Raw genomic sequence first — 25,529 nt, 5'->3', positions numbered from 1 at the left:
TTTTTAAACAAATTGATTGCTTAACACAAGTAAGGACTTTTTTCTGCTTGCTAGCTTCAAATATTTGTTACCTTGTGTAAATTTCAACTTTTACCCCATCCAAATGTCAGGTGAAGGTTGGATCTCCAGCAGGCCCTGGGCTGAGGCCAGCTACCCTATTTGGGTATCTTGACGGCCTCAGAAGTGTCTGCCTTTGCCTTTTTTTTGGTGAGGATTGTTCTTCGGTCCAGGAACGTCTTTGGAAGTTAACAGTGAAAGAAATCATGCTGCTGAGTGAGGCGTGCCCTCTCCAGGGTGTGCAGGAGGGTCACCGTCACCTTGGAGGGTTGGGCAGTAGGGTGGGTACCGCTCTGCTTCCTGAGGGATATAGGTTAGGCATTGGACACCAAGTCCTTTATGTTAAGAAAGGAAGGCTTCATACTCCTGATGCGGGTGGTTTGTGGTACCCAGCCCAGGAGCCGGAGAGCCAGCCTGCATTCTTCCTGTTCCCTAAGCCCCCACATGCAGCCGGGGCTAAGTGCTGCTACTTCTTCCTAACTCACCCTTACATTCACCTTCCTCATTATTTCAGTGGCCCAGAGCAGACATTCAGATATGTGTTGAAGGAATGACAGAACATTTGAGACATCCTTTCTTTTTTTTTCTTTAGTGACAAGGTCTTGCTCTGTTGTCCAGGCTGGAGTGCCGTGGCGCAATCATAGTGCACTCTTGGCCTCAAGCGATCCTCCCACCTCAGCCTCCCAAAGCACTGGGATTACAGGCATAAGCCCCCTCGCCCTGCCCGAAGCACCCTTTTTCCACTCTGGATTGCCATAACCGCCTGACGAGGGGCACTGTTATTCCTGTTTGTGTTATGGGAAGTTCCTGTGAGGGAGGCAGGGAGCAGAGGAGCATTTGGGTCCCCCCTCAATGCACCTTCCTTCATGCTGCTACTGTGGCTGAGGACATCTGGACCCGAGACCACGTCCCTATTCTCTCCCCACAGCAAGCTGCTAGCTCTCTGCAGTGATGTCTGCTTCGCCCACCAGCCCTGGCTCACTCAGGGGGTCCTGTGGTCATCAGGTCACATTGAGTCACCACAGACAGCTTTCCTAACGCTGTGTTCTGATGCCCTGGAGAAACTGTCAGCTAAGCGCAGTGGCTCACGCCTGTAATCCCAGCACTTCTGGAGGCCACGATGGGCGGAACATGAGGTCAGGAGATCGAGACCAGCCTGGCCAACACAGTGAAACCTCGTCTTTACTAAAATACAAAAAGGTAGCTGGGCATGGTGATGCACGCCTGTAATCCCAGCTACTCGGGAGGCTGAGGCAGGGGAATCGCTTGAACCCAGGAGTTGGAGGTTGCAGTGAGCTGAGATCACACCACTGCACTCCAGCCTGGTTGACAGAGCAAGACTCCGTCTCAAAAAAGAAAAGAAAAGAGAAGAGAAGAGACAAAACTGTCATATGCTATCACTGAAATTTGACTTTTTATAAAATGATTCTTCATTTATAAAAGCATTTATCCCTGATTTGCCAACTGTCATCTCCTCTGGTGCCCTGAAAAAGATTTAATACATGGAGGTTTGCTTTCCTTTTTCTTTATTTCCTTCATTCCTTCCTTCCTTCCTTCCTTCCTTCCCTTTCTTTTCTTGGAGATTTTGTTTCATTTTTCTTTCTTTCTCTCTTTTCTTTTCTTATTTTCTTTTCTTTTCTTTCTTTTGAGGAAATCTCACTCTGTTGCCCAGGCTGGAGTGTAGCGGTATGATCTCGGCTCACTGCAGCCTCTGCCTTCTGGGTTCAAGTGATTCTCCTGCCTCAGCCTCCCAAGCAGCTGGGACTACAGGGGCATGCCACCATGCCTGCCTAATTTTTGTATTTTTAGTAGAGATGAGTTTCACCATGTTGGCCAGGCTGGTCTTGAATTCCTGACCTCAGGTGATCTGCCTGACTCACCCTCCCAAAGTGCGGGGATTACAGGCATGAGCCACTGCGCCAGGAGTTTTTTTTTCCGAGGCAGGATCTTGCCTTGGTGCCCAAGCTGGAGTGCAGTGCCGTGGTGCCATCATAGCTCAACGTAATCTCCCATTTGGGCTCAAGGGATCCTCCTTCTTCAGCCTCTTACATAGCTAGGACCACAGGCATATGCCACCACACCTAGCTAATTTTTTATATTTTTTTGTAGAGACAGGCCTCACTATGTTGCCCAGGCTGGTCTTGAACTCCTGGCCTTAAGTGACCCTTTCACCTTGGCCTTGCAAAGCGTTGGGATTCCAGGCATGAGCCACCACGCCGGGCTTCCTGGTTTCTTTATACTTCTTCAAATACACACAGTGGCTCAATGTGATGTCCAGTACAGTTTGCACAAAATACAACCACAGATTGCTAAAAGGTATACATCGAAGTCAGAAGGTATCAAATGCTGGCATTGAGATTTGGCATGGGGTGGGGGTGCAACAGGTAGGAAGAGAAATCCACATTCCTAGAGGGTTTGCATTGGCACCACAGGGCTACAGTTGGAAAGGGACAAAGAACGTGTTCCTGCAGTAAAGACCTAACAGGTGTCAGAGCTGGCTGCCACGTCCTCCTGCAGTTTGCCGGAGGAGGTAAGGGCATCCTGCATACTTTATGTGAGGCAAATACTTGCTCAAGGTCACAGGTCTGAGTAATTGGTAGAGCTGGGATTTGAACCCAGATCTGTGTGTTTTCTTTCCCTTTCCCAGGCTGCTTCCCAGACCACTGGGCAGCCAGAGGGCCTGGGTTTTGGAGGCCCCCACTCCCTACCCCATGCAGACTGGGTGTGGCACTGAATCCGCCTCTAGGGTTTCTGGGTTTCCATTTCCTCATCTGTAAGGTGGTGGGTCTGAACCTGTCATTCCATGTCACACGAGTTTTGTGAGGATCCAATCAGAGGTCAGATGTGAAGAGAGTTTTGAGTGTGTAAAGTAAATACAGGCTCTAGCAAACAATGTCCTGGCTGCAGGCGGCATTTAGGGACACCAATGTATTTTGCAGTCCCCACATTAGAAGTTCAGTTCAAGTTCAGTTTGAATTAGAAGTTCAAGTTGTTATATTCTGTGCAAAGGTGAAGAATATGCATGGGAGATACAGGGGACACCGCTCCTGTTGTCTTAGGGACATTTGTGGGAACAATATACTGGTACGAAGAGGAGGTTTAGGATGTCCTTTGGGCAGGTGCAGGTCTCCTCCTTGCAGTCTGAGCTCCTGCCCGAGTGCCGATGCTGGCTAGAGGCAGGGCAGGCACAGTGGGAAAGAAGTAGCAGCTGTTAAACTTCTGGTGGGCTTCTGAATAGCTAGGTCAGATAACTGGGTCTGTCAATACGTTGGCTATCTTCTTTATAAAATTGTGAATCTTTGTGGCTTTTCCAAATTTTTTTTCTAAGATCATATTTGTCTGTATTTATCTAACCATTACTTATTGACGTGGTGCACTATAAGGTCTAAATTTGAATTGGCTTAATTTTTTTTTTTTTGAGATGGAGTCTCGCCCTATCGCCCGGGCTGGAGTGCAGTGGCGCAATCATGGCTCACTGCAACCTCCGCCTCCCCAGTTCAAGCAATTCTCCTGCCTCAGCCTCCCGAGTAGCTGAGATTACAGGCATGCACCACCATGCCCAGGTAGTTTTTGTTTGTTAGTAGAGACAGGGTTTCATCATGTTGGCCAGGCTGGTCTCAAACTCCTGACCTCAAGTGATCCACCCAGAATTGGCTTAATTTTTACAGTACTTGGTAAGACAGGGTCTCGCTCTGTCATCCAGGCTAGAGTGCAGTGGCGTGATCATAGCTCACTATAACCTCAAACTCCTGGGCTCGAGTGATACTCGCAAGTAGCTGGGACCACAGGCATGCACTACCCACACCTTGGCTAATTTTTGTATTTTTTGTAGAGATGGGGTCTTGCTACATTGCCCAGATTGGTCTCAAATACCTGGGCTCAAGCGAACTTCCTGCCTTCGCCTGCCAAAGTATTGGGATTACAGGCATGAGCCACCATACCCAGTCCAGAATTCCTTTTATTTTATTATTTTTATTTTTTGAGACGAAGTCTCCCTCTGTCACCCAGGCTGGGGTGCAGTGGCATGATCTCGGCTCACTGCAACCTCTGCCTCCCGGGTTCAAGCGATTCTCCTGCCTCAGCCTCCCGAATAGCTGGATTACAAGTGCCCACCACCACACCTGGCTAATTTTTGTATTTTTACTAGAGATGAGGTTTTGCCACGTTGGCCAGGCTGGTCTTGAACTCCTGACCTCAGGTGATCCACACGCCTCAGCCTCCCAAAGTGCTGGGATTATAGGCATGAGCCACCGTGCCCAGCCCAGAATTCCTTTTATAACCTGACGACCCATTATATTGACCCCATAAATGTGAATAGTCCATTATGATAAACTTCAGTACAGGAAATCCACTGTGTGGCCAATTTAAATAATGTGAATATTGAATGATCAGTCATGAATTCAAGACGCAACCTTTCATAATGAAAGCTCCAGGCTGGGTGTAGTGGAGCACACCTGTAGTCCCAGCTTAGGCTGAGGCAAGATGATCTCTTGAGCCAGGAGTTCAAGGTCACGCTCGGCAACAGAACAAGACCCTGTCTTATAAAAAAAAAATAATAATGAAAATCCTTCACCTTTCTTGTACATGAAACCCTCCGAAAAACATAAGGTGAGTCTTACATTCTCACTTCTAAGGTGCTTCCATCAGGTTTGGGAAACAATTTCTTTTTTTTTTTCTTTTTTGAGATGGAGTTTCGCTCTTGTTGCCCAGGCTGGAGTGCGGTGGTGGGACCTTGGCTCACTGCAACCTCCACCAACCAGGTTCAAGCAATTCTCCTGCTACAGGTGCCCACCACCACACCCAGCTAATGTTTTGTATTTTTAGTAGAGATGGGGTTTCACCATGTTGGCCAGGCTGGTTTTGAACTCCTGGCCTCAGGTGATCCGCCCACCTTGGCCTCCCAAAGTGCTGGGATTACAGGCGTGAGCCAACACGCCCAGCCAAGTTTGGGAAACAACTTCTGTTTGTGTGTATACACATTTACTGGAAAAGTACAAGGGCACCATTACAGATGTGCATATCTGCAATTGAATAACGATGTGGCTCATACAGTGCAGAGAGCGCACACCCACACTTGCCTGGAGAAGAGGAGCTGCTGCTTTTCTTCCTTCCCATTATTGCTAATTTTTGCCTGCATCTCAGTTCAGAAGAGCCATGAACTTTACTGCACATGTGTGCTAGTTCTAGGGAACCCCCTGGGCTGCTGCTGTCCTTCCAGAGCCTTCCTGGTACTTCCCTTGAAGTTCTTTGGGCAGCAGTGAGGAGGCCAGGCCAGATTTTTGCCACCTTGGACATCATGCATGTTGTGAAGGTGGTTTCCCCGAGCTGGAGCCAGTCCCGGAGGCTGGCACTAGCTTTCTAGCGAAGCAGAATCTTCCCAGGCATTGGTCACCCGGGCATCCAAGAATGTGTTGTAGATGATGAGATAACTGCCCTGCCCTTCGCCAGAGACACTGCTTCTGACCCTGCCTACAGCGCCTTCTCCAGTTTTTCCAGGGATGAGGCCCATGTCATCCAGCCTCACACTTTCTCTGTTCCTAGAGGCCCTGCCTGGTATTCCTGCTGAGCTAAGCTGTCGCTTCCCATGGGTAACATTTTCTCAGAGGATTTCCAACATAGTTGTTTACCGCTGGAGGAGATGGGCAGCTGTTAGCTAGGTTTGAATAGAAAGCAGAGCCTGCTCCTGTGTGCATGGGCACTGTGCAATGCTAGTGGGAAGACTGCAGCATGTGAATAATTTTACAGTTGGCACTGATGGTGTTTATACTTACTGGAGTTTTATTGCTGGCTGCAATCTCATCATTTTGGTTACAACAGTGACCTAATTTTATATCTGTGTTGTAACTTTAGGAATCCTAAGTAGAACTTTTTGTGTAGTACCTACCACTTTACTTTGGGAGTTAAGAGTATAAGTTTTGGAGTTGGACCTGGGTTTTTGTTTGTTTGTTTGTTTGTTTGTTTGTTTTTGAGACAGAGTCTCGCTCTGTCACCCAGGCTGGAGTGCAGTGGTGCAATCTTGGCTCACTGCAACCTCCACCTGCCAGGTTCAAGAAATTCTCCTGTCTCAGTTTCCCTAGTATCTGGGACTACGGGTGCATGCCACCAAGCCCAGCTAATTTTTTGTATTTTTAGTAGAGACAGGGTTTCACCATATTGGTCAGGCTGGTCTCGAACTCTTGAGCTCAGGTGATCTGTCCGCCTTGGCCTGCCAAAGTGCTGGGATTAGAGGCGTGAGCCACCGCACCTGGCCTGGGCCTGGGTTTGATTTCCAGCCCTGCTATTTGCTGGCTGTGACACTGGGCAAGTTTCTTGACATCTAAGCCCTGGTTTTCTCATTAGTACATGGAGATAGCCCTAGTACCCATTTCCTAGGGTGCTAGTGGGAATTAAATGATCTAATGCTAGTCAAATACATCAATATAAAAATATATATGGGTCACATTGTCTAGCATATGCCAAAGGGTTTGGTAAAAAGAATGTTCTGGGTCGGGCACAGTGGCTCATGCCTGTAATCCCAGCACTTTAGGAGGCCAAGGCAGACGGATCGCTTGGGGTCAGGAGTTCGAGACCAGCCTGGTCAACATGGTAAAAACCCATCTCTACTAAAAATACAAAATTAGCCAGGCGTGGTGGTGCGTGCCTGTAATTCCAGCTCCTGGGAAGGCTGAGGCAGGAGAATCACTTGAACCCAGGAGGCAGAGGTTGCTGTGAGCCGAGATCATGTCATTGCACTCCAGCCTGGGTGATGGAGCAAAACTTCGTCTCAAAAAAAAAAAAAAGGAATGTGCTGTAACTTCATTATTAAAAGCACAAAAAGGAATCTTTATGTCTTACCTACCTACCTTCCCACACACCTATCTATTAGTATCTCCATACGTGTTGATTGCAAGGCTGTGTTGAAAGACTTCTGCCCCACTCAGAAATTATTTACATATTTCAGTTGCTATAAAGACCATTTTCTTGGAAGTCCGTTGTCACGTATCAAGTTTTATTGTTTGTTTTATATTACAGAGGCAAGTCCCATATCTCCATTTTCCTTGGGCGTGTTTTGAAACCTGGCAATGCACGGTGCATCAAGCTGACCTTTCACCTGCTTTCCTCAGCCACCTGCCTGTCTCAGCTCTGCAGGACTGGGGGTGCAGGAGTGGGGAGGTTTGCTCAAAGGGCATAGGGACCTGTGTTGAGTGTCTTCTTGATTACATGGCCAGTGTTAGGATTCATAGGCCAATGACTTCGAAAGAGGTGAAAGGTTTTGGTTAAAAGGAATTGATTATGGAGAAAGGGAACAAAGTGAACACTTTCAAAAAACAAAGTACCAGAGCAGTTTATTGGCCAAGGATTTGGGGGATATTGAGCAAAGTTGTTAAAATGAAGTTAATCGTAAGCAAAATTGAAGATGTGTTATCACCTTCCCCCCCACGATTGTTGATGTAGCATTCAGCGTTGGAGAACTGTCCATAGTCTTCAGGATTCAATTCGGATGACACAAGGATTCATGTCCTTGAGAAGTGTATTTGGAAGACTGGACACATAACTCACAAGTGAAGGTCATTTGCCAGCTGGTGCAGGTGACATTGCTAAATGTCTCTTGTAGAATTTCTTGGGGAGTTTGGATTCGTGGGCTGCCCCCTAAAGTGCTGGGAGCTTTAAGCTAAGTATGAAGAAAGGAGAAAACAGAAATGGAAAAAGAGCTGAAGACTTCCCAGCTGCGAGCCAGTTAGTGGCATAGGTCAAGGCTGGTGGGCCTGGCGGAGGGGCAGGTGACAGGGAGAGCTGAGCTTGGAAGGTGGTAGGAACAACCATGGAATAGGTGAGCTGGAGACGGGACAGCGGATTTGTGACAATTGTGATGAAGGGGTTGCAGCCTTGGCTGGGGCCTCTTATTCTGCATCTCTGTGTGGTTCCGAGAGCAGATTAGCATAAGGTGCTTAAGTGCTATGGCACAGACCTCAGTGATGAGTCCCATCATAGCCTCCAGGATGGCATGTGGCCTGGCTCCCATGCTCCACCTGGGAGTTGGTGGGCACCCCGTGTGCTCCGGGCAAGGAGGTCTGTGTGAGCTCCCAGCAGGTGGGCTCCAGGTGGGCGATCTCCACCCCCAATCCCCCAACCCCACTCAGCCTTTCTTTTATTTTTTTTGAGACAGGGTCTCACTCTGTTGCCCAGGCTGGAGTGCAGTGGCACAGTCCGGGCTTGCTGCAGCCTCGACCTCCCAGACACAAGAAATCTTCCCACCTCAGCCCCCAGAATGGCTAGGACCACCGGTGTGCGCCACCACATCCAGCTAATTTTTTGTATTTTTGGCAGAGAAGGAGTTTTGCCACGTTGGCCAGGCTGGTCTTGAACTCCTGGACTCAAGCAATCTTCCCATCTTGCCCTCCCAAAGTGCTGGGATTTCAGGTGTGAGCCACTGCACCTGGCCTCCCACTCAGCCTTTCAGGGCTCGTGTCCACTTGGGGCAGAGGTACAGGCCAGGCCCCAGCCACCATGCCAGCTTCTCAGAAGTGATTTCTGTACTTTCAGTGAAAATAGACACATCCGCGGCCCCATGACAATGCCAGACGATGTGTTGTTTTTGGTGTGGTGGAGGCCGCCGGGGTGTTGCCGCCACCTCCGATTTACTCCATAGCTGGCCCAGGGGCACACAGCAAGGAGGGGTCTTAGCTCAGGAACAGCACCCAAGGGTCCTCCTGTTTTACTTACCCAGAGCTGCCTCCTCCACGAGTCCATTCCCAGGGCTAGTTCGGGATTCCCGTCCGAGGGCTCCGCGATGATTTGTGGGAACGAGTGAGTGACAGGGGAGAGGTTAAGTTCCCTTTTCATCCATCTGTATTTTTCTGTATTTTCTCATTTCTTCCTTTTAACTTTTCTTCCTCCTCTTTTCTGCCTTTCCAGTAAAAGCGTTCTCTCCTCTAGCCATCCTTGAACTTGGGGCACAGGTGCACGCCCTGCTGTGCAGCTTGGATCCCAATGGTCACGCTGTGTAAACTTTGTCCCCCGGGACACCACCTTTTCCCACCAGGGCTGTGATATGTCTCCGATACCTGGGCATGGAAGAAAATCACAGAAGGAGAGGGGCTGCAGATAGGCCGGCCCCTGGGGTGACGTGGATTAAAGAGCCGTTGGGCAGGTCTCTCTGGGAAGTCTCTGTATGGGGGTGGCTTGGAGAAAGGAAGGCTGGGCTGTAGAGCAGACGTGTTGCTGGTGGGACACGCGGCCCGGGGACCTTCACATCAGCAGGTTCTGGGGACTGGAGTGAACACCCCTAGTCCATCCCTGCTTCTTCCCAGGCAGGGCAGGTGCCGGCGTTCTCAGTAAGAGAAACCCTGGGGAGGATGCGGGCACGTGGACAGGTGGTGAGATTCATTGTCAGCTGGTGAAGTTTTGGCTGGGTGAAGACGTGCTTGGAAGGTCAGGTGCAGTGTGCTCAGGTTGAAGCTAAAGTCCTGGGGGGCTGGCTGACTCCCAGGGTGCAGGGGGAGCCACCTACTAGTTCAGAAGCCAGAGGGGCCCAAGGCAGCAGCAGATGGACCGGGGCCAGCTTGCGTGCCTGGTGGCCTCCCCCAGGAGGAAGAAGGAACGGGAAGTGGGGCTGGCCCACAGAGACTAACGGTTTAGTTGTACACCGTGAGTGGGATGTGGCAGAGCCCCCACCAGCCAGAGGAGGCGGACGCTTGCCCAAGCCTCAGGCCATGCCATGCCCCTGCCACCCTCCTCACTACAGCCTCAGGAAGGCTGAAGGGGTGAGCAAAGAGGCTGCCCAGTGTTGGTGGCCTGGATCCAGACGCAGGCCTGGCTGCCAGCTGGCCTAAGGGCCCTTCTCCCAGCGTGCTGGGGCTCCCAGCCACAGTGCCCAGTCTGGCAGGGTGTGCCCAAGACCCCAGGGAAGGCTTCCGGGAAGGGGAGTTGTAACACATGGGTGCCCTGGCCTCCTGCCCTCGATGAAAGGTGCTGGGGAGGGGAAGACGCAGTGAGCCTGGTGAGGGACTCCCACGCAGGTGGGAGGTGGGGGGCCCTGACCCAGGCCTGGCTGTAGCGGACAGGTGGCCCATTCTGGACACACAGAAGCGGAAGGAACACAGGCTGCAAAGTGGTGGAGTATGCCCCCCTCTCCAAGAAGCCCCTGGCTGGGGCCGATGTGGCAGCGATGGCGAGGTGGGCAGGGCACTCAGACGCCTTGGGAAAGCTGACTTGGGAGACACAGGGAGATGGGGTGTCGAGCAGCTGGTGGGACTTCAGCAAGGGCAAAGAGGGCAGGATGACCACATCAAGAAGGAGCTGGAACTTTGGTAGAGCAGGCAGGGCAGGGCAGGCATAAGGAAGTCTGCCCCAGAGGCCAGGGGTGCCCACGAACACTATGCTCTTTTTCTACTCCCATTAAAATACGATGCTGCAACATGGACAAGGCCACTGTCTGCTTCTTTGTTTGCAACAGTGAAAAAGTGAACAGAGAAGTTCCCTGAGCCCCAGCAGGGACACAAGAGCAGACTGGTTCCTGCCAGCAGGGGGGTGCAGGACAGCAGGGCCAGGGCTGTGTAGGTGGGCATGGGGCAGCTTGGAACTCAATGTGGACGAGAAGCAAGTTGCAGGACCGCGCACAGAGTAGGCAGCATTTGTGTGTGCCTCGCACGTGTATGGTGGCACTGTATGCACTTGTAGATACTCAAATACGTAGGGAAAGATGAGCCCCGCATTCTGGGGACAGGGAGAGGAGGTTGTATCTATTGCATCTTAGAAATTTTTGCAGGGCTGGGCACCTGTAATCTCAGCAGCTTGGGAGGCCAAAGAGGAAGGACTGCTTGAGTCCAGGAGTTCAAGACCAGCCTGGGCAACATAGTGAGATCCCATCTCTACAAAAACAAAAATAAACAAACAAACTGGTGGGGGTGGGGTGGGGTAGGGGGGACATTCTAAATCAATACAGCAAAATGTTAAATTTGTTGATTCCAGGAGGGTACACAGGTGTTATTCTCTGCTTGCCTGTGTGTTTGCGGTTATCTTATGATTTAAAGCATTTAAGACAGAAAACAGTCTTGCTGTATAATATAGTAAAGTTCACTGGAGCTTGTGTATGTGTATGTTTTGAGACAAGATCTCGTTCTGTCGCCCAGGCTGGAGTGCAGTGGTGTGATCATGGCTCACTGTAGCCTCAACCTCCCGGGCTTGTGTGAGCCTCGCCCTTCAGCCTCCCAAGTAGCTGGGACTACAGGTGCTCACCACCGCGCCTGGTTTATTTTTGTATTTTTAGTAGAGATGAGATTTTCCACATTGCTCAGGCTGGTCTCAAACTCCTGGGCTCAAGCGATCTGCCCGCCTTGGCCTCCCAAAGTTTTTGTGAGGCTTATCTGAGGTCCAGGAATTTATTAGTGACTGGCGTTCTTCCACCTGGACACCCCACCTCACCCCCACTCCTCCTCCCTAAGCACCAGGTCCTTGGAAGAGCTTTGCGCCCTTGGCCCTGGGCTTGTCGTCTGCCCATCCCAGTCTCAGCTGCTCACCTGCCTCACCTGGCTGCTGTCTGTTTCCAGGAAGGTGAGGTTAGCCACCTGTAGTCCCAGTCCTGTTTATGCCAGTGTGGTGAGGCCGCAGACCCGATTTACTTTGAGGAATCCCGTTTGTGCTAAGTAAAGTATGTTACAGAAAGTCACGCTGAGGGCCAGGTTGGTTTTCTTTTTTTTTTTTTGACAGGGAGTCTCACTCTCTCACCCAGTAGTGCAGTAGCCTGATCTCAGCTCACTGCAAGCTCCGGCTCCCGGGTTCACGCCATTCTCCTCCCTCAGCCTCCCGAGTAGCTGGGACTACAGGCGCCCGCCACCACGCCCGGCTAATTTTTTTTTTGTATTTTTAGTAGAGATGGGGTTTCACCGTGTTAGCGACGATGGTCTCTACCTCCTGACCTCATGATCTGCCCCCCTCGGCCTCCCAAAGTGCTGGGATTACAGGCGTGAGCCACCGCGCCTGACCTTTTTTTTTTTGAGACGGAGTCTCACTCTCTCACCTAGGAGTGCAGTGGCCTGGTCTCGGCTCACTGCAACCTCTGCCTCCCGGGTTCAAGCAATTCTCCTGCCTCAGCCTCCCAGTTAGCTGGGAATACAGGCGTGCACCACCAGATCCGGCTAATTTTTGTATTTTTAGTAGTGACAGGGTTTCACCATGTTGGCCAGGCTGGTCTCGAACTCCTGACCTACAGTGATCCTCCCACCTTGGCCTCCCAAAGTGCTGGGATTACAGGCCTGAGCCACAGTGCCCGGCCTCAGGTTGGCTTTCAGTGCGGGGGTACATCAAGGCAGGAAACGTGCTGACCACTCTCAGACTCTGGTCTGGGGCCCTCTACTCTCCAGGGCCAGGGAGGGAAGGCGGGTGTGGTGCGAATGGCTTTATCTGGTTACCATTCTTATGAGTTCCTCGGTTTTAGAGACATTAGGAACCCTCTGCCCTGTGTCTGGAGTGAGTGAGGCTGGCCCAGGAGCTGGGTGGCACTCACTGGGGTGGGTTGGCCTCTGTGAAGCCATGGTGCCCGTGTCTTCTGCAGTCCCCCGGCTTTGTTTCCGGTGACTCAGAGGTGGGAGAAGCTGCCACTCTGCATCCACTCCCAGCTGGGTGAAAGGCAGGGAGCAGGTGTGCCCTCTTCTGGGGAGAGGTGAAGTCCCTGCGTGGGCCAGGAGTGTGGCCTCCTGCCTGAAGAGGAAGCACCTGGAAGAGGCTGGCTGGGTGAGGTGGGGGGCAGGCACTGGAGGGAGGCGGGCACTCGGGGAGGCGGGCACTGGGGGGAGGCCCTGCTTTTCCTTTCTCATCCTTTTTACACCAGGGTCATAAAAATCCTGTTGGGTTGGGCAAGCAGGTGGTGACTGTTCAGGTATTTCCAGATTGTGGGTAGTGGGGACGGGGTAAGGGGGCTTGGGCATGGCCAACTTTCCACATGCTCTGGCCCCGGAAACCTTTGCTCCTCCTGGTTTTATCTTCCCTGGCTCCGGATGGGTTACGCCGTTTCTCTGCTGCCAGCCCTGTTGTATTGGGTGGGCTATGGGGTGAGAAGTGTGTGCTTCCCTTCCTGGGAGGTGGGCACCTGGGGCACTTGGAGTATCTGAGGAGCTCTCCAAACATGAGATTTTTGAGCTCCAATTGCAGCAGATGAATGTTTCATTTCATTCAACACATTCTAAAACATCAGGAGATCTCAAATGTGCGTAGAAGAGACACTTACCTACCGGGCTTGCACAGCCCTGCCCTTCACCCGTTCTCACACATGGCTCCTTCCTACCCGTCCCTCCATTTTTCCCACCCCAAGTGATTTTGAAGCAAGTCCCAGATATGATAAAAGATAAAATTAGGCTGGGCACAGTGGCTCACAGCACTTTGGGAGGCCGAGTTGGGCAGATCACCTGAGGTCAGGAGTTCAAGACCAGCCTGGCCAACACGGTGTAATCTGGGCTATATTGAAAATACAAAAATCAGCTGGGTGCAGTGTCGGGTGTCTGTAGTCTCAGCTACTGGGGAGGCTGAGGCAGGAGAATTGCTTGAACCCGGGAGGCAAAGGTTAACGTGAGCCTAGATCGTGCTACTGCATTCCAGCCTAGGCGACAGAGCAAGACTCAACAGTCTCAAAAAAAAAAAAAAAAAAAGATACAATTGCATGTAGCAATATGTTAGGATGTATCAATAAAAGATGGGAACCCTTTTTAAAAATAACCACTGCCTGAGTGCCATGGCTCACACCCACGGTCTCAACTACTCAGGAGGCTGAGGCAGGAGGATTGCTTGAACCCAGAGCTGCAGTGAGCTGTGATTGTGCCACTGCACTCCAGCCTGGGCAGCAGAGCGAGACTCTGTCTCTTAAAAAACATAACCACAATATCTTGTAATACCTAAAAGATAATTCACAGAAATTCCTTAATGCCATGAGGTAACAGTTGTTTTGAATGAGTCTTTTTTTAAATTTAATTTAATTTTAGATTTGGGGGTACACGTGCCTGTTTGTTACACAGGCATTTTGCATACTGGTGGGGTTGGGTTTCTGGTGTACCCAGAGTGCCCTCCATGAAAGGGAAGAGAGTGAACATTGTACCTGATAGGTAATTTTTCAGCCCTTGCCCTGCTGCCTCCCTTCCCTTTTGGAATCCCCAATGTCTGTTATTTCCATCTTTTTTCTCTTTTTTTTTTTTTTTTTTGAGATGGAGCTTTGCTCTTGTCCCCCAGGCTGGAGTGCAGTGGCCCGATCTCAGCTCACTGCAACCTCCGCCTCCCAGGTTCAAGCGATTCTCCTGCTTCAGCCTCCCAAGTAGCTGGGATTACAGGCGTCTGCCACCGCGCCTGGCTAATTTTTGGTATTTTTAGTAGAGATGGGGTTTCACCATGTTGTCCAGGCTGGTCTCAAACTCCTGACCTCAGGTGATCTGCCCACCTCGGCCTCCCAAAGTGCTGGGATTACAGGCGTGAGCCACCGCACCCGGCCTGTCACTTCCATCTTTATGTCTATGGGTACCCATTGTTTAGCTGCCACTTATAGGTGAGAACATGCGGTATTTGGTTTTCTGTTTCTGAGTGAGTTCACTTAGGATAAAGGCCTCCAGTTGCATCCATATTACTGCAAGGGACATGATTTCTTTCTTTCTTTCTTTCTTTCTTTTGAGACAGAGTTTTGTTCTTGTTGCCCAGGCTGGAGTGCAATGGCATGATCTCAGCTCACTGCAACCTCTGCCTCCTGGGTTCAAGTGATTCTCCTGCCTTGGCCTCCCGAGTAGCTGGGATTACAGGCATGCACCACCATGCCCGGCTAATTTTGTATTTTTTAGGAGAGATGGGGTTTCTCCATGTCGGTCAGGCTGTTCTCGAACTCCTGACCTCAGTTGATCCTCCCGCCTCGGCCTCCCAAAGTGCTGGGATTACAGGCGTGAACCACCGTGCCCGGCCAATTTCATTCTTTTTTATGGCTGCTGAATGAGTCCTTAATGTGACCAGAGCATTATGGTGGACAGGATATGGAAGAAAATAATAACATATCCACCCCCACCATCATATATTTGAGGAGAGAATGGTTAGGTGCATAGACATTAAATAGATAACACTTCTTCAGACAGTATTTTTTGGTAACAGCTTTATTGAGAGATTCATATACCATAAAATTCACCCATCTAAAATGTACACTTCGGTGAGTTTGGGTTTTTTTTGAGACAGGGTCTTGCTCTGTTGCCCAGGCTGGAATGCAGTGGTGCAGTCACGGCTCACTGCAGCTTCGAACTTCCAGGCTCAAGTGATCCTCCCACCTCAGCCTCCTTAGTAGCTGGGACTACAGGCACACATCACCGCACCCATCTAATTTTTGTAGTTTTTGCAGAGACAGGGTTTCGCCATGTTGCCCAGGCTTTCAGTGGTTTTTAGTATATTCACAGAGTTGTGCAACTATCACCACAATCAATTTTGGAATGTTTTCATCACCCTAAGAAGATACCCCCAACTCCTTACCCATGACCTCCCTATCTTCCCATCTGCTCCAAGCCCCCGGCAACCACTAGTGTACTTTCTGTCTCTGTAGATTTGCTTGTTCCAGACATTTAGAATAAATAGAATCAGCAATATATGACCTTCTGTATGGCTTCTTTCACTCAGCATCACGTCTTCAGGGTCCATCCATGTTGCAGCAGGTGTCGGAGGTCCATTCCTTTTCATTGCTGAATACTATTCCACAGTATGGATGGACCACATTATATTTATCCATTCATCAGCAGAATGTATTGCCACTTTTTGGCTATCATGAATGATGTTGTGAGTGTTCGTGTGCAGACTTTTGTATGGACATGTTTTCAGTTCTCTTGGGTATATATGTAGAAATGGAATTGCTGGGTCGTATGGTAAGTCTATTTTTCTACAATTTTCTTTTTTTTTTTTAAGACAGGATCTCCCCTGTTGCCCAGGCTGGAGTGCAGTGGTGCAATCACAGCTCATTGCAGCCTCCACTTCCTGGGCTCAAGCGATCCTCCTGCCTCAGCCTCCCAAGTTGCTAGGGTTACAGCAATGCACTACCATGCCTGGGTAATTTCTTTGATTTTTAATAGAGATGAGGTCTTGCCATGTTCCCCAGGCTGGTCTCGAACTCCTGAGCCAAAGCAATCCTCCTGTCTTGGCCTTGCGAAGTGCTGGGATTACAGGGGTGAGCCACTGCACCTGGCCCAATTTTTATTTTTTTTTTTATTTTTGTTTATTATACAGAGACAGGGGCTTGCCATGTTGCGCAGGCTGGTCTGGAACTCCTGGCCTAAAGCAGTCTTTCTGCTTTGGCCTCCCAAAATGCTGGGATTGCAGGTGTGAGCCACGGTGCCAGGCCAGTAACTCTGTATTTAAGCTTTTGAGGAACGGACAGACTGTTTGCCAACGTGGCTGCACCATTTGACCAGCCATGCATGAGAATTCTGATTTCTCCACATCCTCACCAACACTTGCTATCATCCATCTTTGTGATACTAGCCATCCTCCTGAGTGTGAAGTGGTGTTTTCCTATGGTTTAGATCTGCACTCCCTATTGGCCACAGGAGGCAGTCTTACACTTGCAGTGGTCCCCCCTTATCCTTGGGGGGATACATTCCAAGACCCCTGGTGGGTGCCTGAATTTGCGGACAGAACCAAACCTATACGGTCAGCTTTGTATCCTCAGGCTCTGCTTCTGTGGATTTAACCAACCAAGGATTGAAAACATTTGGGGAAAAAGAAAAAACCTAAATAATAACAAAAAATAATACAAAATAAAAATACAGCATAACAACTGTTTACATAGCATTTATAAGGTATTCATTATTGTAAGTAATCTAGAGATGACTTAAAGTATACAGGAGGGTTGGGCGCGGTGGCTCACACCTGTTAATCCCAGCACTTTGGGAGGCCGAGGTGGGTGGATCACCTAAAGTCAGGAGTTTGAGACCAGCCTGGCCAACGTGGGGAAACCAGGTCTCTACTCAAAATACAAAAATGTAGGCCGGGCGCGGTGGCTCACGCCTGTAATCCCAGCACTTTGGGAGGCTGAGGCGGGTGGATCACCTGAGGTCAGGAGTTCAAGGCCAGCCTGGCCAACGTACTGAAACCCTGTCTCTACTAAAAATACAAAAATTAGCCAGTCGTGGTGGTGGGGGCCTGTAATCCCAGCTACTCAGGAGGCTGAGGCAGGAGAATCACTTGAACCCAGGAGGCAGAGGGTGCAGTGAGCCGAGACTGTGCCATTGCACTCCAACCTGGGCAACAAGAGCAAAACTCCGTCTCAAAAATAAATAAATAAAATAAAAATACAAAAATTAGCCAGACATGGTGGCACATGCCTGTAGTCCCAGCTACTCTAGAGGTTAAGGCAGGAGAATCACTTGAACCCGAGATTGCACCACTGAACTCCCACCTGGGGGACAGAGCGAGACTGTGTCTCAAAAAAATATATATACAGGAGGATGTGTGTAGGTTATTTGCAAATACTACACTATTTTCTATAAGGGACTGCACATTCATGGGTTTTGGTAAGCATGGGGGTCCTGCAACTAGTCCCCCTCAGATTCCGGGGGACAGATGTGTATACGAGGTGTTTTCCTGTGTAGTACTACTGTGTAGTAACTCCCTGTAGGCAGGGAGTGTTGACAGCATGGGTAGCCTGGGCAAAGGGGTGATTCACGTCCCTGGAAGGAGGGAGTGGGACGGTGGGAGTTTTCATCATACTGCTCAGAATGCTGCACAATCGAAAACTATGATTTTTTTTCTTTTTTGAGATGGAGTCTCACTCTGTACCCCAGGCTGAAGTGCAGTGGTGCAATCTCAGCTCACTGAAACCTCTGCCTCCCAGTTCAGGCAATTCTCCTGCCTCAGCTTCCCAAGTAGCTGGGATTACAGGCATGCACCACCATGCCCAGCTAATTTTTGTATTTTTAGTAAAGACAGGGTTTCGCCATGTTGGCCAGGCTGGTCTCGAACCCCTGACCTCAAGTGATCCACCCACCTGGGCCTCCCAAAGTGCTGGGATTACAGGCATGAGCCACCGCACCAAGCCTGGAGTTTTCCATTTAATATTTTCAGATGGTGGTTGACCATGGATAACTGAGACTTCAAAAAGCAAAATCACTAGACATGGTGGCTCACACCTGTAATCCCGGTACTTTGGGAGGCTGAGATGGGTGGATCACTTGAGTCCAGGAGTTCGAGACCAGTCTGGGCAAGGTGGTGAAACGCTGTCTCTACAAAAAAATACATAAATTAGCTGAGCATGGTGGTGCATGCCTATTAGTCCCAGCTACTCAGGAGGCTGAGGTGGGAGGATCACCTGAGCTTGGGGAGTAGAGGCTGCAGTGAGCCATGATCGTGCCACTGCACTCCAGCCTGGGCAATACAGCGAGACCCTGTCTCAAACAAACAAACAAACAAACAAACAAACAAACGTGCAAACTGTAGCTGAGAGGGGACTGCTGTAGGTGCGGCTATATCAGTGTTTTTAAGCATAAGGCCACTGATCCAGGCCAGAACCCAGGGTGGGATTTGCGCTCATTACATTTGCACAGGGAGCTCCTCTGGCCCTTGTTGGATTCACTCATTTCTGCTCATGGCTCAAAGAGGGAGAGGCTAGGTCAGGACAGCCCATCTCAGCTCCTGCAGAAGTAGAAAAACAAATTGTGCACCTTAGGGGCATTTAGAACTCTTAGGGTTACCCTGAACCAGTCCAAATAAACAAGTCCTTCATTAAACTCAGATCGCTCTGCGAGGGCGTTTCACTCCTAGAAAGGACACTATAATTACCTCCAGTCTGACTCTTCCTATCAGAGGTTAGATTTCTGAGCAAGTGTTGGATACATAACTTTGGAGGGACTTGGCTACAGACGCTATATTTAATCCACTGCCATGAATAATGCCTTTGTGTTCTGTATGAAGCCCAGGAGATCTTATCAATCGTGCAGAGGTAGCCAGTCACGTCACTTTATTTGCCACGGTGCATGCTTTGCAGAGTCCTCTTCTGGGATGCCTTCCTCATGGTTACTGCGAAGGCTTTGATGGGGAAGGGGGCTAAGAGTTAACCTTGAGGCGGGGCGTGGTGGCTCATAGCAGTAATCCCGGCACTTTGGGAGGCCGAGGTGGGCGGATCATTTGAGCTCAGCAGTTCGGGAACAGCCTGGCCAACATGGTGAAACCCTGTCTCCACTAAAAATAGAAAAAATTAGCCAGGCGTGGTGGCAGGCACTTGTAAGCCCAGCTACTCGGGAGGCTGAAGCATGAGAATCGCTTGAACCCGGGAGGTGGAAGTTGCAGTGAGCTGAGATGGCGCCGCTGCACTCCAGCCTGGGCGACAGAGTGAGACTCCGTCTCAAAAAAAAAGTTAACCTTGAGACTCCACGGGAGTCTTACAGCTGCTTAGATAGCTTTTTGAGAAATGGTTCAGAGCTGCTTGCTTTGATGCCCTCTTCAACCCATGGCAAACATCTGCTTGGTGATCTTGCTGCTTTCAAAAATGGGATCCATTCCTTTAAAACTGGCCAGGCCGTGGGAGTTGGCTGCGTGCCTACTAAATAATATGTAAATACTGTTGTTTTGTTGTTGTTGTTGTTGAGATAGGGTCTCACTCTGTCGCCCTGGCTGGAGTATAATGGCGTGATCATGGCTCACTGTAGCCTCTACCTCCTGAGCTCAAGGGATCCTCCTGCCTCAGCTTCCCAAGTAGCTGGGACTACAGGCCCATGCCACCACACCTGGCTAATTTTTTATTTTTTTCAGAGACGGGGTTTCGCCATGTTGCCCAGGCTGGTCTTGAGTTCCTGGACTCAAGCGATCCTCCCACGTCAGCCTCCCAAAGTGCTGGGATTACAGGTATGAGCCATCGTGCCTGGCCCATACATATTGTCGATTGCTTTGCAAATTGCTCTAAGCTGAAGTTATAGCTGGTGGAAGGTAGTTTTGCCAAATTACTCTTTCCGAGTCATTGAGGCAGAGCTGGCAGGTTCTGTGCTGATACCTCCCGGGTGTGTCGTCTTGCCCAGCTCCTCCCTTGCTCTGGCGATGTGGGGCATCTCCACCCGGATGTCCTGGTGACATTTCACATGTGGCAGGTCCAGGCATGAATTCTCAGCTTCTGCCCCAGCCTGCCTCCTTCCCTCCCTGAGACTGTCCCTTGTCAGTACCTGGCTTCACTGAGTGGGTGGCTCAAGACAGGAGCCCGAGGGCCCATTTCACCAGCAAGTGCAGCTCAAGGTGCCTCTGCAGACTGTCTTGTGTGGGTCATTGTCCACACTGTCACTGTCCCTGTCACTGACAGAGTGGGCCAGGCCCATGCACCTTCCTGGAAGACAGCCTCAGCTTCTTAACTGGTCCTGCTTCCCCATCCCCATCCATACTCCATACAGCAGCCAGAGTGGTCTTTAGAAAAGAAACAGTGGCAGGTTCCCCTTTCTCTGGGCCCTTGGATGCTTCTCCATTGCTAGCACAAAACCCTGCCACCTCCCACCGGCTGCCTCTGCCTTCCTCTCCAAACTAGGCCCCCTGTCCTTGAACCCAGACACCCTGTCGACCCCAGCCACCTGTGCTTGACCCCAGACACCCTACCCTTGACCCCAGCTACCCTGCCTTTGACCCCAGACACCTGCTTTTGACCCGACACCCTGCCCTTGACCCCGCTGGCCTGCTCTTGACCTTAGCTGTCCCGCCACTGACCCCCCCCCAACAGCCTGTCCTTGACCCCCAGCCACCCTGCCCTTGACCCCAGCCACCTGCCCTTGACCCCAGACACCTGCCCTTGACCCCCAGCCTCCTGCCCTTGACCCCAGCTTCCTGCCCTTGACCCCATCCTCCTGCCCTTCCTGCCTCCAGCTCTTGCCTGCTCTTCCCATGGTTGCTCCTTCTCCTGGCTTCCCTGTCTCCTGAGAGGTCCCCTCGGCTTCTCCCCTTCCTGCACCAGAGCACTGCTCCTGCGTTGCTTGTTAGCCCGGTCTAAGCTGTGGGAGGGCAGAGGGACCTTTTCTGCTGGTGTGCAGCTCTTCTCCTCGGCTGGCACGTTGGAGGCAGTCAACAAATATTTGTAATATGGACAGATGTCTGAAGTCGGGTGCCTTTCTAGGGCCTGCCAGCGGATGGTTCTGTGTTTTGGCTGGTGGAGGACTGAGTCAGGCTGATTTCTGTAACAGGGGATCTTTGAAACTGTGATAGCCACTGATTTTGATCTCACCTTCAGAGGGCATCAGTGGGCGAAAACAGGAAAATCATCCTGTGGTGAGAACACGCACACACACCCACACACACACACCACACACACACACACAGACACACACACCCCCACACAACCACACATCACCACACACCCACACACACACACCACACACACACAACCACACACACGCACCCACACACACCCACCCCCCACACAACCACACATCACCACACACCCACACACACACCCACCCCCCACACATACCACACACACACCCACGCACCCCCCCACACCACACACACACCATACACACCACACACACTCACCCCACACACACACCCACACACACACCACACACACACCCACACACACCACACACACATATACACATGTACACCACACACACACACCACACACGCACACACCACACACATACACCACACACACCACACACACATACCACACACACGTATACACACACACACCACACACACACACACACACACACACGAGTTTTTGGATTTTTATTATGGTCCTTGAAAGTTTTTTCCTCTTAGCTTCTCTTTTATCCATTTAGTACTTTGTGGCAGGCAGCTTGGGAGGAGGTGGAGGAGGCACCGTGAGAAGGGCAGGAGCCACCACCCCGGGGGGTCCAGGAGGGGATGGGGGTGGGCTGTGTTGTGCTGAGCGGCTGTGCCAAGGAGCCTGAAGGAAGGCGGCCGGAGCCAGGATGAAGGGTACAGGAAGAATGTAGCAGATCCGGAAGCAGTTTTCTGCAGCCGGCCAGGGGATGCTCTCCCCAGGGGCTGTGCTTGGGTCTGGACTGCAGCGCCCCGGGATCCGTTTAGCCCGTGGGGCCGCCAAGGCACGTTCCGTTTCAGCCGCTGCCTCCAAGGAAGAAGGCCCGCTCCGTCTGTGGACACCCATTCTTGAGGTGTCTGCGCATATGACTCATGGAGTCTTCGTGGGTCTCTCCGAAACCCTAGAACAGTTTCTCGAAAGAGCAGCCACACAGACACCAGAGGCAGAGGCATTTGGGATTGATCTGCGCTCGAAGTTCAGAGTCTAGGGCTGTCGTGGGCTCCTTCGTGGACTCCTGCGTGGACACTCTGGGCCTCTTCTAATGCCAGCCTCCAAGGGCCTGGCTGCAAGATTGAGATTTGTCTGTGCTGTGCGAGTTGCTGAAGCGCCGTGGGCTTTACGTCAGTAGGTGTGGCCTGGATGCTGGCTTGGAGGCGTGGTTCCGGGGGACGTCCAGGGCCAGGGTTGGGGTACCACGGGCCTGGATGCTGGCTTGGAGGCGTGGTTCCCGGGAATGTCCAGGGCCAGGGTTGGGGTACCACGGGCCTGGATGCTGGCTTGGAGGCATGGTTCCGGGGGACGTCCAGGGCCAGGGTTGGGGTACCACGGGCCTGGATGCTGGCTTGGAGGCGTGGTTCTGGGGGACGTCCAGGGCCAGAGTTGAGGTACCACGGGCCTGGATGCTGGCTTGGAGGCGTGGTTCCAGGGAATGTCCAGGGCCAGGGTTGGGGTACCACGGGCCTGACTCCTGATGATCATCTTGGGGCTCTAAGCAGAGGTGGCGACTGTCTTTGTAGCGGTGGACAGGCAAGGGGGTGCCAGCTGTGGTGATGGAATTGGTCTGTTGATGAAAAGTATTAAATCTGTTAAGTGGCGAGGAAGAACTTAAGTTCAGAAGGAATGGCACTTCTGTATGAGGGTTTTTTAGTGTCTGGTCACACGTTCCACTGTGTTACATTTTCTCCTTCTCCTTCCAGGTACTCTCTGAAGATGGCAGAAGCTCACCAAGCTGTGGCCTTTCAGTTCACGGTCACTCCGGACGGGATTGACCTGCGGCTGAGCCATGAAGCTCTTAGACAAATCTATCTCTCTGGACTTCATTCCTGGAAAAAGAAGTTCATCAGATTCAAGGTTTTCTGAGATTTGTTGAAATCTACACAGTATGCCTTTTAATATCTAAGAACGGGGCTCTGGCTGCTATTGAGGTCTACGTGTTTCAGACTGGCGACTGCATATCACTTACCTGTTTCCATGGTACTTAAGGCTTGGGGACACCGTCACATAGACTTTAGCTCACTGGATGCTTGGAGCAGTTCCATTAGGCAGGTGGAGGGACTTGGCATGCGTTAAAGCAGGCTGGGAAATCGAGGCTTAAAGGGCCAGCGACCTACTTAATAGGAGGCAGAGTAAAGACTAGAATTCACATCTTCTGCTCTGAGTCAGAATCCTTTACACCTTGTTCAAATAGGATTTTTCCAGGCCAGGTGCAGTGGCTCACACCTATAATCCCTGCACTTTGGGAAGCTGAGGTGGGCGGATTGCTTGAGCTCAGGAGTTTAAGACCAGCCTGGGTGACACGACAAAACCCCATCTCTACAAAAAATAGAAAAATTAGGCAGGTATGTTGGCATGCACCTGTAGTCCCAGCTACTCAGGAGGCTGAGGTGGGAGGATCACTTGAACCTGGGAGGCAGAGACTGCAGTGAGCCATGATTGAGCCACCACACTCCAGCCTGGGCAACAGAGCGAGACTTTGTCTCAAAAAAACAAAAAAATATTTTTTCCAAACTTCAGCAAGTGGATGTAATAACTACTTTGTTTATAAAACATTCACACATTAGAAACTCTCTGCATAAGGTCCGGGTGCAGTGGCTCACACCTGTAATCCCAGCACTTTGGGAGGCCGAGGCGGGTGGATCACGAGGTCAGGAGATCGAGACCATCCTGGCTAACATGGTGAAACCCCCGTCTCTACTAAAAAATACAAAAAATTAGCCGGGCGTGGTGGCGGGCGCCTGCAGTCCCAGCTACTCGGGAGGCTGAGGCAGGAGAATGGCACGAACCCGGGAGGCGGAGCTTGCAGTGAGCCGAGATCGCGCCACTGCACTCCAGCCTGGGTGAGAGAGCGAGACTCTGTCTCAAAAAAAACAAACAAAAAAAAAGAAACTCTCCACAAGTTCAAATACAGTTGAGTCCACATGTTCTCAATTCTGTTTATCTAAAGAAGTAGAACTTTGTTCTTTTTTAAGTAAGTGTCTTGTTTTTCCATGTATTTTAATTTATTTTAAACATCATAGAAGGAACAAGTGCATGTTTGAAAACATGCAAACTAGGTGAAAGTTCATCAAGTCAAAAGTGGAAATCCCCCCCCGCTGACCCCCCTGCCAGCCCCAGCGGTAACTCAGTTCAGTTTGTGCACTTCCCGGTGCTCCTTCTCCGAGGGCGGCACTGAAGTGGGCCACTGAGAAAGGCCTAAGCTCAAGAGCAGGTGGCAGCAGGGACAGCATGGCGGGCAAGCCCCTGGGAGCCAGTACAGCTGCACGGGTGTCCCTGGGGCTCAGCCTGTGGGTTCTTGGGCCCAGATAAATAACCCACCAAGGTGACATCCGAGATTTCACTGAGGCACTAGCTCGGCTCGCCGAGAGCTGCTCTTTTTCACCTTGGAATCTGGGAAAATAGAAACTTGGATGCAGAGGCTTGGCCATCATATTCAACCCAGTGGGAATGTTGTTCTCCCTCTCCCCTCCCCTCCCCTCTTTTTTTTTTTTGAGACAGGGTCTTGCTCTGTTGCTCAGGGTGGAGTGCAGTGGTGCGATCACGGCTCACTGTAGCCTCACTGGGCTCAGGCAATCCTCCTGTCTCATCCACCCAAGTAGTTGGGACCATAGGTGCACACCACAATGCCCGGCTAATTTTTTTTTTTTTTTTTTTTTTTGGACAGAGCCTCACTCTGTTGCCCAGGTTGGAGTGCAATGGCACAACCTTGGCTCACTGCAACCTCCGCCTCCTGGGCTCAGTGATTCTTCTGCTTCAGCCTCCTGAGTAGCTGGGACTATAGGCGCCCACCACCACACCTGGCTAATTTTTTGTATTTTTAGTAGAAACAGGATTTCACCATGTTGGTCAGGCTGGTTTCAAACTCCTTACCTCAAGTGATCGGCCTGCCTCAGCCTCCCAAAGTGCTGGGGTTACAGGTGTGAGCCACCGCACCTGGCCTGCTTTGGTCATTTTTAATCCATTATCTTGGTGAAATCAATATCTTATTAGGATGGTTTAGGAAGAATTTTTTTTAATTGGAGTTGTCAAACATACACAAGAGTGAAGAGGACTGATTAAAGATCCCCACCATTCCCTTCCTTGTTTCAACAATTTTGCCAATTTTGTTTGATATAATCCTTTTTTTTTTTTGGCTGGAGTATTTTACAGCAAATTCTCGACATGGGGTGAGGTCTCCCATGAAATCTTCAGGGTTAAGCAGCCCTTCTGACACAGGGGCGGCAAGAGGAGCAGTTTTGGAACC

At 50.8% G+C, this 25,529-nt stretch overlaps 1 protein-coding gene across 10 annotated transcripts in view, besides 1 other annotated feature; it reads left to right on the top strand.

Annotated features, from left to right (window-relative positions):
• Positions 1 to 25,529, top strand: part of CPT1A (carnitine palmitoyltransferase 1A) — an 89,658-nt gene that overhangs the window by 5,804 nt on the left and 58,325 nt on the right. For all 10 annotated transcript variants that reach the window (NM_001031847.3, NM_001440360.1, NM_001440363.1 and 7 more), the window contains one exon: positions 22,987 to 23,140. In NM_001031847.3, the coding sequence (NP_001027017.1) occupies positions 23,000 to 23,140 (141 nt within the window). In that variant the 5' untranslated portion in view covers positions 22,987 to 22,999. The remainder of the gene's footprint in view (positions 1 to 22,986; positions 23,141 to 25,529) is intronic.
• Positions 12,439 to 12,498: an enhancer, noted in NCBI's record as "active region_5141". NCBI's record gives its function as "activates an Ori minimal core promoter by ATAC-STARR-seq in GM12878 lymphoblastoid cells {active_cell/tissue: GM12878}" and the evidence as "EXISTENCE:reporter gene assay evidence [ECO:0000049][PMID:35858748]".

Source organism: Homo sapiens, chromosome 11 (assembly GCF_000001405.40).
Source record: "Homo sapiens chromosome 11, GRCh38.p14 Primary Assembly".
NCBI lineage: Eukaryota > Metazoa > Chordata > Mammalia > Primates > Hominidae > Homo > Homo sapiens.
This window is presented reverse-complemented; position numbering and strand designations above follow the sequence as displayed.